The following is a 17,555-nucleotide window of genomic DNA, read 5'->3' on the forward strand; positions in this document are numbered from 1 at the left end:
GGATCTTAAAAATGTCCTTTTATAATTGAGGTAAAGAAGAAATCGCTAGGTAGGGAAATGTATGTAGTAAATGATGAAATCTGTAAAGATGTTTTAAAAATTGTAAATACCTCTACAAATATCATATACTACTCAAGCAACATCCTAACATCACTAGGCATTTGTTTTCTGTTTAACTGCCTTTGGAAGACCTGCATGTAAAGTAACAAATATGTCTCACCCCAGACGTGTTCAACTCCCGTATCTCCCTTTTTCATTACAGTCATCTCTCTGGCTCCTTCACTGCCCCCATTCCTATCCATCTGCTCTTTGATGTCATATGCACCTTACAGGTTTCAGTTTCTCTTCCCGGCTTTGCTTTCTTTTCTGCTTGTCTTGAGCCCCATGGTTGACTAGCTGAAGCATTCTCGAATAAGGAGTCTCAATTCCTTTAATATCCGGCCCACTTTTCTTCTTTTTTTTTTTTTTTTTTTTTTTTTTTTTTTTTGACATGGAGTCTCGCTCTGTCACCCAGGCTGGAATGCAGTGCTGGGATCTCGGCTCACTGCAACCTCTACCTCCTGGGTTCAAGTGATTCTTTTGCCTCAGCCTCTCGAGTAGCTGGGACTACAGGTGCACGCCACCATACATGGCTAATTTTTGTATTTTTAGTACAGATGGGGTTTCACCATGTTGGCCAGGCTGGTCTTGAATTCCTGACCTCAGGTGATCCGCCCGCCTTGGCCTCCCAAAGTGCTGGGATTACAGGCATGAGCCACTGTGCCTGGCCCCCAGCCCATTTTTCTACGCTTCTTGCCTACCTTGGTTCCATGATAAAAGCCACCTCCTTAGCCTGTTAACCCATACAATGGAGGTTTAGGGAGTGGGTGGAAGAGCTTTAGTGTCTTTGGTTTAAATTTAGGTCTGTTTTAAAATTGTGTCTGATACAACCACATCTCCTTAATAAACGTATTGGTTTACTATTTTCAGTTCAGTCTTTAGAAAACAAGCAGCCTTTCAGGAAGAATTTCAGAGAGGTTTGGTTCTCAAATTTTGTGTGCTTCTAAATATTCTTTATACCTTGCTTCAAAATGTAGCTACCTGAGCTCACCTTTCTGTAGCCATTTCAGTTTATTAGGTTTGGGGTGAAATGTGCCATTTGTATTTTCAACAAGCCCCACCCCAGCTGCTGAAAATGATGCAAAATCAAATTTGAGCATCGCTGCTGTAGAATACATTCTCTCTTTCTTCCAATGGAGAGTTCCATTCCTGAATGTGGGATATGTTGAAATGGTGCAGCCAAATTTGCATTGTTGTTCGGTAATATCAGTGGTTCTTAATCAAAGACATGTATGAGAATCAACTGTGGTGCTTTTGAAGGTCATCACTAAAAATTGTCCACGCTTTAGCTCCACCCACTGGCAATTCTGTGAAATACTTTTCAGGTGGGGCCCCGCTCGCCTGTTAACGTATCACAGGTGATTTCTACTTGGTATAATATGGTATGACCCATCTGCAGTGGAAACAAATGCCTGTTTTGGATAGGAGTATTTCAATTCAAGTTAATATGAATTGATAAATACACAGGTAATATTTGGGTTGTTATTCAAAGAACTTATAAAAGTCATATCTTGTAAAAGTCTATAGATTTATTACAGCCTTTTAAAAAATATTGCCAGGCCCCAAGCCCTGAAAATATGTTGCGCTTGCTCCTTCCCTTACTGAAATCACATTTAAATTCAGAATCACCAGTGCTAGTTTACTTTCAGTTCAAGACAGCAAGCCTGAAAATAGCCTTAATGACGCATGCAGAGCATTTTCCTAGGAACAGACTCTGGACTTATTAGTGTCTGGAGCCATCAGTCAATACTTTTCTGGTGCACTGGTGTGTTAGTAAGGGATGCCAGAAATGCGTGCCTTCTCTTATCAGTCACCCGGAGAATTCACGTAACTTGCTTTAAATAGCCGAAGTGAAGAAGGAGATTGACTTTACAGTTGTGTTTGCTTCTTTAAAAAATATACTTATCTTTTCCTAGCTGTAAAATAGCAATCGAAAACTGCCATCTAAAGTGAAAAATAATTCCCTAAGGTTTCAATAGGGTTTTTCTTGTATCAGAACCAGGGCCAGGGTGTAACTGGATTTAAGTGCCAGACAAGGAGCTAGAAGCTGCAGGTGCAGCTCCCCGCCACGCTGCTCTCTGTGACCTTGAGTGAGACACAAAATTGCTGGGCTTCCGTTTTTCATTTTAAAATGCGAGGGTTGGATTTGCTCGCTAAGAGCTCTTTTATCTCTAATAGTTAAGATGATGGAACATGATGTTTTGAGATGTTTTGCTGAAATTTCTCACATAGAAAATGGGCCTTCTGAAAACATATAATTATAGTTTTGGGTAGGAAGAAGCTGTCATGGTGGCGAAGGGGAACATTGCAAATCTGAACATGACCGCAGCTGGCGGGAGAATAATGTGTTAGAATTGAAAGGCACCCTGCAGACTTGCTGTTTAATGTACAAAGAAGCCTAGGGCCGGAGGGGCAGGGGGACTCTCAGGGACAGTGGAATCTGGCTCAACGGTCACCCTCTGGTAGCAAGCAAGACCTGTCTCTGTGACAGGTCTCAATCAATGGAGAAGCTTATTTTGCCGACGTTAAGGACATGCCTAGGCTCAGCGTCCTAAACTAAGCCAAGTGCACCAAGCCAGGTGCTCAGGCTCCTAAACTAAGGTGCAATTAGGCAATCAGCATGGATTGTTAGACTGTACAAAGGTGGAGATGCCAATTCCCCAACTGTTTTCCTAGGGGTTGTGTTCCCACACACGCACTTTCTCCTTAGTAACAGCGCACGGCTCCTGACCTGGATGGGTGGCCTTAGATCTGTGAAGCACATCTACCTTGCCTTGAGAAAGATGCAACTCAATGTTGGCTTCCTTAGCTCCGTGCCACTCAGCATTGCAGCACCGAAAGGAAAACTGTTTCCTCTCTACTCTCCCACTACTCTCAATTCTTCCAACAACAGATGTGGGTTGTTTTCCCCCCCAACAGCAAGCAGTTCTCCAGTTCTCTGCAGATGCTAATGCCACGTCCTGCAATTCAATTCTGACCTTATCTACCTGGAGTTAGTGCAGACCCAACAGGTTGAAGGCTGAGTCCCAAAAGACTGTCCCCACTTCAGATGCCAGTCGCACAAGTGATGAGTCTCCAGGTTATCCTCAACTTCTGTCCAACTCAACTACAGATCAGAGGTTCCCATGGCCCCCTACTCAGGTTCTATAATTTGCTAGAAGGGCTCATAAAACTCAAGAGAACAGCCGACTTACTAGATGACTAGTTTATTATAAGAGGATACAACTCAGGAACAGCCAGAGGAGAGAGGGATGGGAGAGGGTGCAGAACATCCATGCCGTATCTAGGTACGCCACCCTTCCAGCACGGCCCTGGGGTCACACACCTGGAAGCTCTCAGATCTCCATCCTTTTGGGTTTTTATGGAAGCTTTGTTACTTAGGCACCATTGACTAAATCACTGGCCACTGGCGATTAAGTCAGTCTCCAACCCTTTTCCTGTCTCTAGAGGTCAGGGTGTTGGGGCGGAAAGTTCAAACACTTTAATATTACGGTTGGTTCCTCTGGCACCCAGGCCCCATCCCAAGGCTCTCCAGGAGACCCCAGCCACCAGTCATTCATTAGCATGCCAAAAGACACTTAACACTTTGGAGAGTATAAGAGTTTTAGGAGCTGCATTCCAGTAAACAGGTGTGCAGATCAGATAAGCATTTCTTATTGTATTGCAGTATCAGAGATGATGCTCACCGCTGGACCACATTCCAAGATATGGCTCCACTTATTGATCTTTGAATGAAGGGGTACCTTATTGATCCTCCCCCTGACCTTACCCCAAATAACAAATCATACCAGTACTAAACTGGCAGAACTCAAGATTGGTTAGGAAAGATCCTCTGAAACTTCGTATAATGACAGTTACCTTGTTTTGAGTGTGTCCCCTGTGCCAGGCACTGTGCTGAGAGCTTTGTGTGTTCAGACTCACTTCACAGTTACAAAACCCTCTTTAATATGTGGGAACTGGGCTTGAAATGGTTTAGGTACACGGTCCAGTTCATAGCCAATGTTGTGTTACTAGAAAGGGATCCCAATACAGACCCTGAGAGTGGGTTCTTGGACCTTGTGCAAGGAAGAATTCAGGGCAAGGCCATAGAGTAAGGTGAAAGCAATTTGTTAGAGAAGTTAAAAAAAGAAAAAAGAATGGCTACTCCATAGGCAGAGCAGCAGCATGGGCTGCTTAACTGAATATACTTATAGTTATTTCTTGATTATATACTAAACAAGCAGTGGATTGTTCATGAGTTTTCCAGGAAAGGTGTGGGCAGTTCCTGAAACTGAGGGTTCCTCCCCCTTTTAGACTATATAGGGTAACTTCCTGACATTGCCATGGCATCTATAAACTGTCCTGGCACTGGTAGGAGTGTCTTTTAACATGTTAATGCATTGTAATTAGTGTATTATTGTTACAGTGGAGGGTGTCCACGTTCTTGGCGTCTTCAACAAAGAATTGGACAAAACCCACAAAGCAAGGAAAGAATGAAGCAACAAAAGCAGAGATTTATTGAAAACAAAGTATACTCTACATAGAGTGAGAGCAGCCAAAGCAAGCAGCTCAAGAGCCCGGTTACAGAATTTTGTGGGGTTTACGTACCCTCTAGAGGTTTCCTGTGTTTGCTTGGTATACACGCTATGTAAATGAAGTAGCGACTCTCCATCAGTCTGATTGGTTGTAGGAGGAGACTAATCAGAGGCTGAAGCGATGTTATGAAGTTGCACCCTATGCACACATCTGATTGGCTACAGAAAGTGACCAATCAGATGCTGAAGTGAAGTTACAAAGTTATACCCCTTTGTAAATGAAAACTTGGCCCCAGACCAGCCTGAATGGTTGCAGGAGGGTTCTAAACAGAGGTACTTTCAATTTCAGAGGCAGAGCATGGTAGCTTATGCCTGTAATCTCAGCACTTAAGGAGGCTGAGGCAGCCCAATCACTTGAGGTCAGGAGTTCTAGACCAGTCTGGCCAACATGGTGAAACTCCGTCTCTACCAAAAATATTTATTTAAAAAACTAGCCATGTGTAGTGGCACACACTTGTAATCCCAGCTACTCAGGAGGCTGAGACAGGAGAATCACTTGAACCCGGGAGGCAGAGATAGCAGTGAGCCAAGATTGTGCCACTGCACTCCAGTCTGGGTGACAGAGTGAGATTGAATCTCAAAAAAAAAAAAAATACAGTTCTCATCTGCCACACAGAAAAAGGAGGGGGAGGGTATTGCAAAGGGCGTAGCCTTTGGTCCTTTTGTTATTTGAGCGTGGAAAGTTGGGGTTTTTCTTTTGATTTAGTTTTAGGAAGTCAGCGTGAATCAGCCTTAGGTTCCCTGTCTCCAGGCCCTATTCTCCTGCCTCATAATAAATAATAATAATAAACAGGGAAGACGACCAGAGATCACTTTCATCACCATCTTGATTTAGGTGGGATTTGGCCGGCTTCTTTACTGCATCTTGTTTTATCAGCAAGGTCTTTGAGACCTGTATCTGGTGCTGAACTCCCATGAATAAGAATGCCTAAACTCTTGGGAATGCAGCCCAGTAGGTCTCAGCCTTATTTTATCCAGCCCCTATTCAAAATGGAGTTGCTGTTGTTAGAATGTCTCTGACAGCTGGACTCATCCAAAGCCTTTTTAGTAATGCCATGACTGTGTAAATCCAGAAGTCTCTGTGACAGGTCTCAATCAATTTAGAAGCTCACTTTGCCAAGATTAAGGATATGCCCAGGAGAAAAGAACATGGAATCACTAAAACAGTCTGTGGTCTGGGCCTTTCTCCAAAGGTGAATTTGAGGGCTTCAGTATTTAAAGGGGAAGAGTGGGCTGCAGAGGGAAGATGGAGGGTGTGGTAATTCACATAATGCAGGAGGAAAGGGGCAGGTTAGGGAAGAGTCACTTATATATTCCTCCGGCTTTCAGTAAATTGGCACTTTACAAAGATAAGATGGACACAGAGTAGGAAGTATTTAACCTTTTAGTTGTAGTTGTCTGCTTAGGAACAAAAGGGAAGGCAACTTCTTGCATGGCTCAGCTTTCAGCTTCATTTTTTTTTCTTTTGGCAGAGTGAATTGGGGTTCCAAGGTTTGTTTGTTCGTTTGTTTGAGACGGAGTTTCACTCTTGTTGCCCAGGCTGGAGTGCAAAGGCGCCATCTCGGCTCACTGGAAGCACCTCCTGGGTTCAAGTGATTCTCCTGCCTCAGCCTCGCGGGTAGCTGGGAATACAGGCAGCGGCCACCACGCTTGGCTAATTTTTATATTTTTAGTAGAAACGGGATTTCACCATGTTGCCCAGGATGGTCTCAAACTCCTGACCTAAGTTGATCCTCCCACCTCAGCCTCCGAAGGTGCTGGGATTACAGGCGTGAGCCACCATGCCTGGCCGGAGTTTTTATTTTCCTTTTACAAGTGCTTCCTCTTCTATTTCCCACAGAACATTCTGGAAAACCACCAGGGTAGAACCCTGACTTCTATTTGACCACAGCTCACCATTCTTATATGTTTTGTGATTTTCATTTTCCCTTAAGAATTGTCTCCAATTGCGACATTCTTCAGAACTTATTAAAGATATCTGAAGTGTATACGGTGAAAAATGTATAGAATGGTGGTGTCACCACTTGATGTTGAGTGTGAAATGTGTGGGTAGTAAACTTCTGAAGCTGCTGCTGTAAGGGCCAAGGGAAACTTCCCCTTCACCCTGTGAAAGTTTGCAGAAAAAGCAACTCACTAAGACAGGTTAATTGGAGAAAAGGCATGCAAATGTATTTAACATGCACACGGGGAGAATCTCAGATTACTTATTCCCTAATAGAGTTAAGAAGCTTATACAGCATCCTGGCCAAACAAGTTATGGGAGTAGGGAGAAGAGGAATTCCATTGAGAGGATCACTAGGGAGAATGAATGGATCCAGGAACAGAGATAAATTTGTAAATAGTCTCTTGACAGTTAAGGTTTGGTTGCATTCTTGGTATTAACAGGGAGGGGAAGCAGAAACCATTGGTCTCTTTGGTGCCTCTGGGTCCTGGGCAGATACAGCCTTTGCTGTGGGAGGGATGTGGGGGACCTTGAGGCGGCTTCTTCATTTCAGCAGGCCAACTACTCAGGAGGCTGAGTCGGGAGGATCGCTCTAAGCCCAGTAGTTCAAGGTTGCGGTGAGTTCTGATCCTACCACTGCACTCCAGTCTGGGTGACAAAGTGAGACCCCGTATCTAATTAAAAAAAAGAAGACACCTCTTCAAATTTTGACAGAGTTTAACTCTTTCATCAAAATACCTATATATTTTATGTAATATGGATCATTTATATATACACATATCTGTGTGTACATATTGTTATCTGTATACGTATATCTGTATTATATAACATATATAATCTGTGTGTATATGTATATATCTTTTTATGTGTCTATCCTTCCTGACACCCATTCCCTGAATTCTTTTCTGCCAAGATAAATGCAAAGAGCCAGAAAATCTGTGATCCTATCTCTTAACAGATCTGTGCTGAGAAATTACTGTAGGTATACCTGGAGTTCTTAATAAAAATTCTAGTTAGATGACTTTTGAGAACCATAAAAAAAAACTTAAGAGAACTTCTGGGATCTCTAGTAGGGACTAACTTTCTCTTTACAAATGTTGACAAATTGTTGAGATTGTCTGCGGAGATAGTACATGATATGGTTTGGCTCTGTGTCCCCACCCAAATCTCACATTGAATGGTAATCCCCATGTATCAAAGGAGGGGCCTGGTGGGAGGTGATTGGATCATGGGGGTGGATTTCCCCCTTTCTGTTCTCATGATAGTGAGGTTCTTATGAGATCTGATGGTTTAAAAGTGCGTGTGTCTCTCTCTCTCGCTCGCTCGCTCTCTCGCTCTCACTCTCTCTTGCTCTCCTGTGATAAGACATGCTTGCTTCCCCTTTGGTCATGATTGTAAGTTTCCTGAGGCCTCCTGTTAAGCCTGAGGAACTGAATCAACTAAACCTCTTCATAAATTGCCCAGTCTCAGGTAGTTCTTTATAGCAGTGTGAGAACAGACTAATACAGTATATGAGGTACACAAGACAGCTCATTACTTTTAGAGTCAAGCATTGTTTTTAATTTAAAAATGTTATCTCCCAGGTTGATCATAGGCTGTATTCATTCAGCTTGGCTTTGAGTGACTCTGGGCTGTTTGCTAAAACTAATTTGTCCTCAAAGGAAAGCGAGTTATGAATAGGGGCATTCAAAATTTTATGACTTTGGTTCTGATGATACTTTCAAAAAATGAATTTTAAATAATTTTCAAATGAGAGAAACAATCCTCAAATATATGTTCATTTTTTTCCAAGGGTTTTTTGAAGGGGTTCCCATTCACTTGGATAGGTTTGTATATGCTTGACATTTTTTAATTACTCAAATTATTTGAGGATCACAATTCACTTTTAATTGTTTTTTTAATATTGGAGATGTGGGATTTGTTTTTTTCTCTTTTGGTTGTCAACCTGGTTACTAACAGACTGATTCTCCTTGAGCATCCAGAATAAGACAAGCCCGTTGGTTTAATAGTTATCTGTGGTAAGTACCGTCATACACAGTGTGTCTCCTTTGTAAAACTTAAGTGCAATGAATGATGTTGTTACTAGTCCAACGTGTTTCTCTCTTGCTAGAATAATAGCCTCACAGAGCAAAATCTCTGTCTTGTTGAGTTCTGTGTTCCCACTGCCAAGAAAGTATCCTGAGCCTAAGAGGCACTTAATAAGCACTTAATGAATTACAAAAGAAATGATTTGATTACAGAACTAAGTCTACCAAGTGTAGCTAGTTCAGTTGCAGAAAACAGAATCCAGAACTTTTATGTTTCCAGTGCATCATTTTGTCTCTAACTGCTTAGGAACTATGGTTAGGGCTAAGAGAAAATAGACGAATTTATCCCCTGCTGGTGGGCATGAAAATTAGCACATCTCCCTGGAGGAAAACTTGGTAAAATATTTATCACATCTTTTCAGACGTAAACACTTTTTCTAACCACATAGGAGACTTACATAAACATCTTTTGGTCAATAATTTGTCTAAGGAAATAAGGATAAAATGTTTTAGATATGTTTTTAATATCAAAAGAAATGTCTAATAACAGTGCAGACCCCTCTTACGTACCCCTTGAGGTCCTCTCAGCCTCACCTATCTGTTCCACCCCTCTCTGTGGCAATTCCTCTGCATAAGGCCAACAGGTCTTCCTTGTTGGCCACAGGTGGTGTGCTGTGAGGCTGTGCTCATCACGCTTGTGTGCACAAAGCACTGGGCAGACACACCCAGTGCAGAAAATCTTTGACCAAGAGGTGACCAAAACTGATAATATTACATCTTCGCTATATATATATATATATATATATATATATATATATATATTTTTTTTTTTTTTTTTTTTTTTTTTTTTTTTTTGAGACAGAGTCTTGCTCTGTCTCCCAGGCTGGAATGCAGTGGCATGATCTCGGCTCACTGCAACCTCTGCCTCCTGGCTTCAAGTGATTCTTTTGCCTTAGCCTTCCGAGTAGCTGGGACTACAGGTGTGCACCATCATGCCCGGCTAGTTTTTGTATTTTTAGTAGAGATGGAGTTTTACCATGTTGGCCAGGCTGGTCTCAAACTCCTGACCTCAAGTGATATGCCCGCCTCGGCATCCCAAAGTGCTGGGATTACAGACGTGAGCCACCGTACCCGGCCCATCATTCCTTTAACAGAGTGTCTTGAGATGTGGCTTATGGCTTCTCAGAAGATAGTCCAGAAGGATTGAGCCATCAATCAATCACACCTAGTAGCAGCCAAGTCTATTACAGCCCCTCAGATGGTCTCTTCCTCTCCTTCCCTGATTCCTTCTCTGGCCCCTCTCTTCTATTCCCTGAGATTGTACTCTTATATAAGCTCAGTGCCTCAGTATCTGCTGTCTGGAGAGCTGAGAAGTTGTCTTGTTGATTAAATAAGCTATATCATCTTTTAAGTGGCTACAGATATGGACAGCCATTACAACTGACATGAAAAGGCAATAAATGAAATAAGCTGGTCACAATTTTTTTTCTGAGACAGAGTTCTGTTGTGTTGCCCAGGCTGGAGGGCTGGAGTGCAATGGCGCGATCTCGGCTTACTGCAACCTGTGCCTCCTGGGTTCAAGCAATTCTCTTGCCTCAGCCTCCTGAGTAGCTGGGATTACAGGCGCCTGCCACCATGCCCTACTAATTTTTGTGGGTTTTTTTAGTAGAGATGGGGTTTTGCCATGTTGTCCAGGCTGGTCTCAAACTCATGGCCTCAAGCAATCCATCTCGGCTTTCCAAACTGTTGGGAATACAAGTGTGAGCCACCACACCTTATCTCTTATTGGTTTTTACAGAGACTAACTGAGATATATTTAAGCAACAGGACTTCTACATAGTAAGCACAATATAGTTGCAAATTAAGGCAGTTATTAATTATTACAGTCTAATAATGTCTGAAAAAAACAAGTCTGTTTATCACGCTGAATCACATCTGTATACTGCCACAGGTATACCTCAGGGAAGTTCAGATTACTACCCAAGGGCCAACCGCTGCTTCTGAAACATCAACTGACAGAAGAACCTACGGAAGTTATAATATCTCCTGGCTAGACTGAAGATGCCTTGAGCAGATATTTGGGTGTTTTTTTCTGTTTTTTGTTTGTTTTGTTTGTTTTGAGATGCAGTCTCGCTCTGTCGCCTAGGCTGGAGTGTAGTGGCATGATCACGGTTCACTGCAACCTCCACCTCCCGGGTTCAAGCGATTCTCCTGCCTCAACCTCCTGGGTAGGTGGGAGTACTGGTGCCCGCCACCATGCCCAGCTAATTTTTTGTATTTTTAGTAGAGACAGGGTTTCACCACGTTGGGCAGGCTGGTCTCGAACTCCTTACCTCAGGTGATCCGCCCACCTCACCCTCCCAAAGTGCTGGGATTACAGGGATGAGCCACCACGCCAGGCCTGGGGTATCTTTATTAAAGACCTTTAGAGTTACTACATGTTATTCTCAGAGTTTATTTGTAGATGTTCCAATGATAACCTTGCCTCTAACAATGCACCCCAGTCATAGTGGAGCATCTGTCATTTTAGAAAAGTTTTCATATATTCAGCTCATCTGTGCCTTCCTCCCGTGTCTGCTCTTTGGACCTTGTTTCGGCCCCTTCAAACAGAGCAACAATTGGTCACTAAGCTTTCCTTCAGAAAGTCTCTCAACACTGAAGCAAGGGCAGCAGCAAAGGTTTTAAGAGTTTCTAGAGAGTGAGTGATCACATGGGGTTTCATGTTCAGAACTCACCACCCACAACTCTCTGCACTAATCTAATCCCTGCCAAAACATTTGGTTTGGGTCATGGGGACACTCAGCTCAATCATTTTCGTTTAAAAAAAAAAAACAGAACAGGCTGGGCACAGTGGCTCATGCCTGTAATCCCAGCACTTTGGGAGGCCGAGGCCGGTGGATCACCTGAGGTCAGGAGGTAGAGACCAGCCTGGCCAACATGGTGAAACCCCGTTTCTACTAAAAATACAAAAATTAGCTGGGCATGGTGGCGGGTTCCTATAATCCCAGCTACTCGGGAGGCTGAGACAGGAGAATCGCTTGAACCCGGGAGGCGGAGGTTGCAGTGAGCCAAGATCACTCCACTGCACTCCAGCCTGGGCAATAAGAGCAAAACTCTGTCTCAAAAAAAAAAAAAAAGAAAAGAAAAAAGAAACCAAAACATGAGTATAAAATAAATGATGAAATAAAATCGCTGAAATTTGTATAACTTCTGATCGCTAGACCTCTGTGAACTTAGCTAAAACCGCAGCTGTTGCAGTGGAGAAGAAAGTGAAGATTACCGAATTAACATAAAATATAATGTGTCTCCCCGTGCTTGTCAGCATGTACTTTGTAAAGGCTTTCCTGGTGTTTGTTTAGAATGCTGCTTTGGAAATTCTTTGTAGTGTATAATTTTCTAAATAAGTACAGAATAGACATTTTATAACAATTTAAATGCCAGCATCAGTTTAAAAGGGATACCACTGTTGGAGTCTCTTAACTCTTTCATTACTGTCCTCGCCACAGAATACAATTACTGAGTGGAACCGCGGTGACAAAAGCGAAAACAACTCAGTGTTCAGGGTACTGTGAATATTTGCTGGGCCACATTTCGTGGGCTGAGACTCTTCAAAAAATGATGTCACTGGTGTCTAGCAAGATTGCCTTATATCAGGCTGCTTTTCATTTTGTTTTTGAAATGTTTGTAGTTTAAGAAAAACAAGGCCAGGCACAGTGGCTCACACTTGTAATCCCAGCACTTTGGAAGGCCAAGGCGGGCAGATCACTTGAGGTCAGGAGTTCAAGACCAGCCTGGTCAACATGGTGAAACTCCATCTGTACTAAAAATACAAAAATTAGCCGGGCGTGGTGGCGGGCGCCTATAATCCCAGCTACTTGGGAGGCTGAGGCAGGAGAATCACTTGAACCCGGGAGGCAGAGGTTGCAGTGACCTGAGATCACGCCACTGTACTCCAGCCTGGGTGACAGAGCCAGACTCTGTCTCAAAGAAAAAAAAAAAAATAGATACAGTATAGAGAAAACCAACTAAGAAATGGGAGAGCTAAGTGAGTGAAGTGTAACTGATAAGCAAAGAGAAGGAATAAAAATACCAAGTTATCACTCAGGAGTTACAGGCAGCAGCTACACAAAAGATGTAGCCAACCAAGGGAAGAAGAGAGTGCTCAAATTAGTGTGAACCCAGACACCTGAGAATCCAAACTTTTCAATCGCTGTAGCTAAAGTTCTTTGGCCCAGTGTAGACACAAGCTCCCTCACTGGGGTCTCAGGATATAAGGATTCAAGCCCTGTCTCTCGTGCCACTCTGTCCTTTCAACCACGCAGTGCTGGATTTTAAACAGGTAGAAAGTAAAATGTTTATTGTATTTACCCCTTTGCTTAATTCTTAATCATTTTAAATTTAATAAATATCTATATACACTTGCACTTACATATATATATGTTGATCGTATAAAACAAAATCCTGGCTGGGCGCGATGGCTCACGCCTGTAATCTGAGCACTTTGGAAGGCTGATGCAGGCAGATTGCTTGAGTCCAGGAGTTGGAGACCAGCCTGGACAACATAGTGAAACCCTGTCTCTACAAAAAATACAAAAAGTAGCCAGATGTCATAGCGCATACCTGTAATCCCAGCTACTTGGGAGGATCATTTGAGCATGGAATGCAGAGGTTGCAGTGGGGCGAGATCACACCATTGCACTCAGCCCTGTGTGACAGAGTGAGACCCTGTCTTAAAAAAAGTATATATTTGTTTCAAAACATATTGTAGGAACTTTTGCCCATATATAAAGAATAAAATAAAGTTGAAAAGTTTCCTTCCTTAATGGAAGGATTATTTATTATCATTGAAAGTTAGCAAGATGATAGAGAGAAGTTATAATCAGACAAGGATAACTAGAAAGTAAGATATCAGTAAGTGCTAAATAAAGCAGATGGCTATGACCTGGTTCCTGTAAGTATAGTCAGTACCTCTTCAGTTCCTGGGTGCTTCCTATATAAGACTTGATAGCTACACTCCCACCTGAGGCATTTAATATAATAAAAGAGTAGAACAAGTTTTATAAGAAGTTAGTGTACACAACAAATAAGTGGATAAAAAAAACGGATTAGATCTTCTTGACCTGTCTTTTCTATAGTCCCTCTCTCTCTCTTTTTTTTTTTTTTTTTTTCTGAGATGGAGCCTCATTGTGTCGCCCAGGCTGGAGTGCAGTGGAACAATCTTGGCTCACTGCAACCTCCACCTCCCGGGCTTAAGTGATTCTCCCACCTGAGCCTCCCAAGTAGCTGGGATTACAGGCACCCACCACCATGCTTGGCTAATTTTTGAATTTTTAGTAGACCTGGTTCCTAGGTCTACTAAAGTAGGTTTTCACCATGTTGGCCAGGCTGCTCTCGAACTCCTGACCTCAAGTGATCTGCCCACCTCGGCCTCCCAAAGTGCTGGGATTACTGATGTGAGCCACCGTGCCCAGCCTCCATAGTCTCTTACAATAGGGATCTGGGTCATTTTTTTTTTTTTTTTCATTTCTCTAAAAAGAGCAAATTGAGAGTAGTTAATATTTAAGACAAATCCATTATAGACATTAAAACAAACTATGAATTTTCCTTTTATGTTATTAGCAATTGACAGTTTCAGGATGAAAATTGAAAACCATACTTTGCTATTTAGCATAGTAAAATTCACCTTTGTATTAGGAAATGAAGAAATCAATGCATAAAAATCTAAGTAACTATATTAATCATGATCAGAAATTTATTTCTATCCTTGAGTGAATTTCATTTCACTTTTTAATCATAGGTATTCATTCTATCACTGGCACATTTTTATTAAACTTAGGTATGCATTGTGTTATAGCGTTCAAATTATTAGCTTCACTATTAACTCATTAGTCATTGTTTAGGGAGAAAGCTAGAACTATAGTGCCATGAAATTATAATGTGTTTATTCTATTTCATAACCAAAGATATTTTTAAGTTAATTATCTCCTCCTATAATAATTGGTGCTTAGCAGCCTTAGGCCTAGTGATTCCAGAAGGCTGTAAGAAAATAAAAGTTCTTCCTTTTCTAAACATTAACCACCTCTCTGACAAGAGCCTGTGGGCCTCCACACAGCAGGCCTCTGTGGAGCAAATAGAGTTTCCTTTGGATGTGAGAAAAAGCAAGTCTTGCGGCCAAAAAGCTGTCCACTAATATCCTTCCAGCCCTGCCAGATTAGTTCTTGCGTATACCCATCTGTTAATGACAGGGTCCAGGCATCTGTCTCTAGGCAGAAAAGAGCATACGGCAGTGAGATGAGGGACTTCAAGGCCAGGGGATAGAGGGCATGAGTCAGGGCAGAAGCATGGAGAAGGTGGGAAATTTGGGGAGCTTGAACAGATGTTTCTGGACCATCCTTTTGGGTCTGTAGGCCAGATAGTAATGAAGCATTATTGTGTGGGGTAAATATGTGAGGTTCATTGTCTCACGGCAGGGAAATCGAGGACGTGGACGTGGAAGAAATGAGTTTAAGAGCGGAGGTTTAATAGGTGAAAGAAAAAGAGAATAGCTCTCTCTCTCTCTTGCAAAGAGAGAAGGGCTCCCAAGTGCGTCATCTGGTTTCATGGTGAAACGCATGGGGTTTCATAGTTGAGCTTGAGAAGGCGCTGTCTGCTTTACATAGGGCGCGAGAGATTGTTCGGACCAGGTGTGACATTTGCATGGTGCATGAAGATGCTGGCCAGCCCACCCTAATCTTTCATGCAGATGGGGTCTCAACCTGGCCAGCACCATGTTGTCTGTTCCTCACTGTACTTGTGGTTGACAAACAAAAGGGAAGATGGAGCCACCAGGTTGCACATGCCTGGCCCCCAGGTAGCCTTCATCTATTGGCACAGCTGCGGCATTTACCTGTGCAGACTTTTAGCTTGTTTATCTATGCTTTCAGCTTGATTTTTCAGGCTGCTTTTTGTTAGAAAAGAAACAATATGGGGGCTGTGTTTCATTAGAAGGAAGCCTTACCGAGGACTCTCTTACCCTCACTGTTTGCTGAAATAATTTATTTCTAGCTCATATATCAGTAATAGTGCTGGAGTCAGGGTGGGAAGGGAGGTGGTGAAACCAGGTGGTTGGTCTCTTCAGCAGCCTTCTCAAGATGAGTGATTTGTGGAGGGGCGCGGTGGCTCACGCCTGTTATCCCAGCACTTTGGGAGACCGAGGTGGGTGGATCATCTGAGGTCAGGAGTTAGAGACCAGCCTCGCCAACATAGTGAAACCCTGTCTCTGCTAAAAATACAAAAATTTGCTAGGCATGTTGGCGGGCGCCTATAGTCCCAGCTACTTGGGAGGCTGAGGCAGGGGAATCACTTGATCCTACGAGGCAGAGGTTGCAGTGAGCCAAGATCCTGCCACAAATTGCACTCCAGCCTGGGCAACAGAGCAAGACTCCATCTCAAAAAAAAAAAAAAATGAGATAGGAAGACATACATGGTCTCATAGTTTATAAAATTCCACACCAAGGACCCTGCACAGGAAACACTGAAAGGCTGCTGCAGCGACCCTAGTTTTACAGAGGGAATAAAAAGTCATGCAAATTGTACTTTTAGTAGAGACAGGGTTTCACCATGTTGCACTGGCTGGTCTCGAACTCCTGACCTCAGGTGGTCCGCTTGCCTCGGCCTCCCAAAGTGCTGGGATTACATGCGTGAGCCACCACACCCAGCCATTCATGAAATACAGCTTTCTAGATGGTGAAAAAGAGATGTGAAGAGAGAAACGGAAGATCTAAATAAATAAAAATAATGATTTGTGCCGGGAACTGTGGCTGACGCCTGTAATCCCAGCATTTTGGGAGGCCGAGGTGGGCGGATCACGAGGTCAGGAGATCGAGACCATCCTGGCTAACAAGGTGAAACCCCGTCTCTACTAAAAATACAGAAAATTAGCCAGGCGTGGTGGCAGGTGCCTGTAGTCCCAGCTACTCGGGAGGCTGAGGCAGGAGAATGACGTGAACCTGGAAGGCGGAGCTTGCAGTGAGCCAAAATCACACCACTGCACTCCGGCCTGGGCGACAGAGCGAGACTCCATCTCAAAAAAAAAAAAAAAAAAAAAAAAAGAAAATCAGGATTTGACATCGCTGTTGATTTCCTGAACCTCGAGTTTTTTAAGTGCATCTTTGTACTTAAAAGGAATAGGTTACCTTTATGAGGGACACCCATCGTTCTAACATGTGAAGGTGTTCATTTAGTGTCACACGCAAGGCAGACCTGGGCCCAATCTTTTTTTGCCTTTCTTTATACCAACCAATTTTTAGCATTTTGTAAATTATAACTTTCAAGTCTTCAAAATTTCACATAAACATGTAAATGTTGTGGAACTGCCATCTACACACCCCTTTAAATGAAAAGCACTCTAGTACTGTAGGAGAAACACAGGCTTTGGAGAGAGAGAGATTTTAGCACCAGCTCTAACGCTTATGGCCTGGGAGAACATATAAAAAAAAAAAATCTTCAGCCGGGTACGGTGGCTCATGCCTGTAATCCCAGCATTTTGGGAGGCCAAGGCGGGTAGATCACCTGAGGTCAAGAGTTTGAGACCAGCCTGGCTAACATGGTGATACCCCATCTCTACTAAAAATACAAAATATTGGCCGGGCACGGTGGCTCACACTTATAATCCCAGCACTTTGGGAGGCCGAGGTGGGCGGATCATGATATCAGGAGATCAAGACCATCCTGGCTAACACGGTGAAACCCCACCTATACTAAAAATACAAAAAATTAGTGAGCCGCGCCACTGCACTCCAGCCTGGGTGACAGAGCGAGACTCTGTGTCAAGAAACAAAAAATACAAAAAATTAACTGGACATGGTGGTGGGTGCCTATAATCCCAGCTACTCAGTGGGCTGAGGCAGGAGAATTGCTTGAACCTGGGAGGCG

The 17,555-nt window shown here is 43.0% G+C and overlaps 1 protein-coding gene across 14 annotated transcripts in view, besides 1 other annotated feature; it reads left to right on the plus strand.

The window, feature by feature from the left end:
* Positions 1-17,555, plus strand: part of CACNB2 (calcium voltage-gated channel auxiliary subunit beta 2) — a 403,134-nt gene that overhangs the window by 331,344 nt on the left and 54,235 nt on the right. The window lies entirely within an intron of this gene.
* Positions 227-446: an enhancer, noted in NCBI's record as "active region_3112". NCBI's record gives its function as "activates an Ori minimal core promoter by ATAC-STARR-seq in GM12878 lymphoblastoid cells {active_cell/tissue: GM12878}" and the evidence as "EXISTENCE:reporter gene assay evidence [ECO:0000049][PMID:35858748]".

The sequence above is a fragment of the Homo sapiens genome, chromosome 10 (genome assembly GCF_000001405.40).
Source record: "Homo sapiens chromosome 10, GRCh38.p14 Primary Assembly".
Classification (NCBI taxonomy): domain Eukaryota; kingdom Metazoa; phylum Chordata; class Mammalia; order Primates; family Hominidae; genus Homo; species Homo sapiens.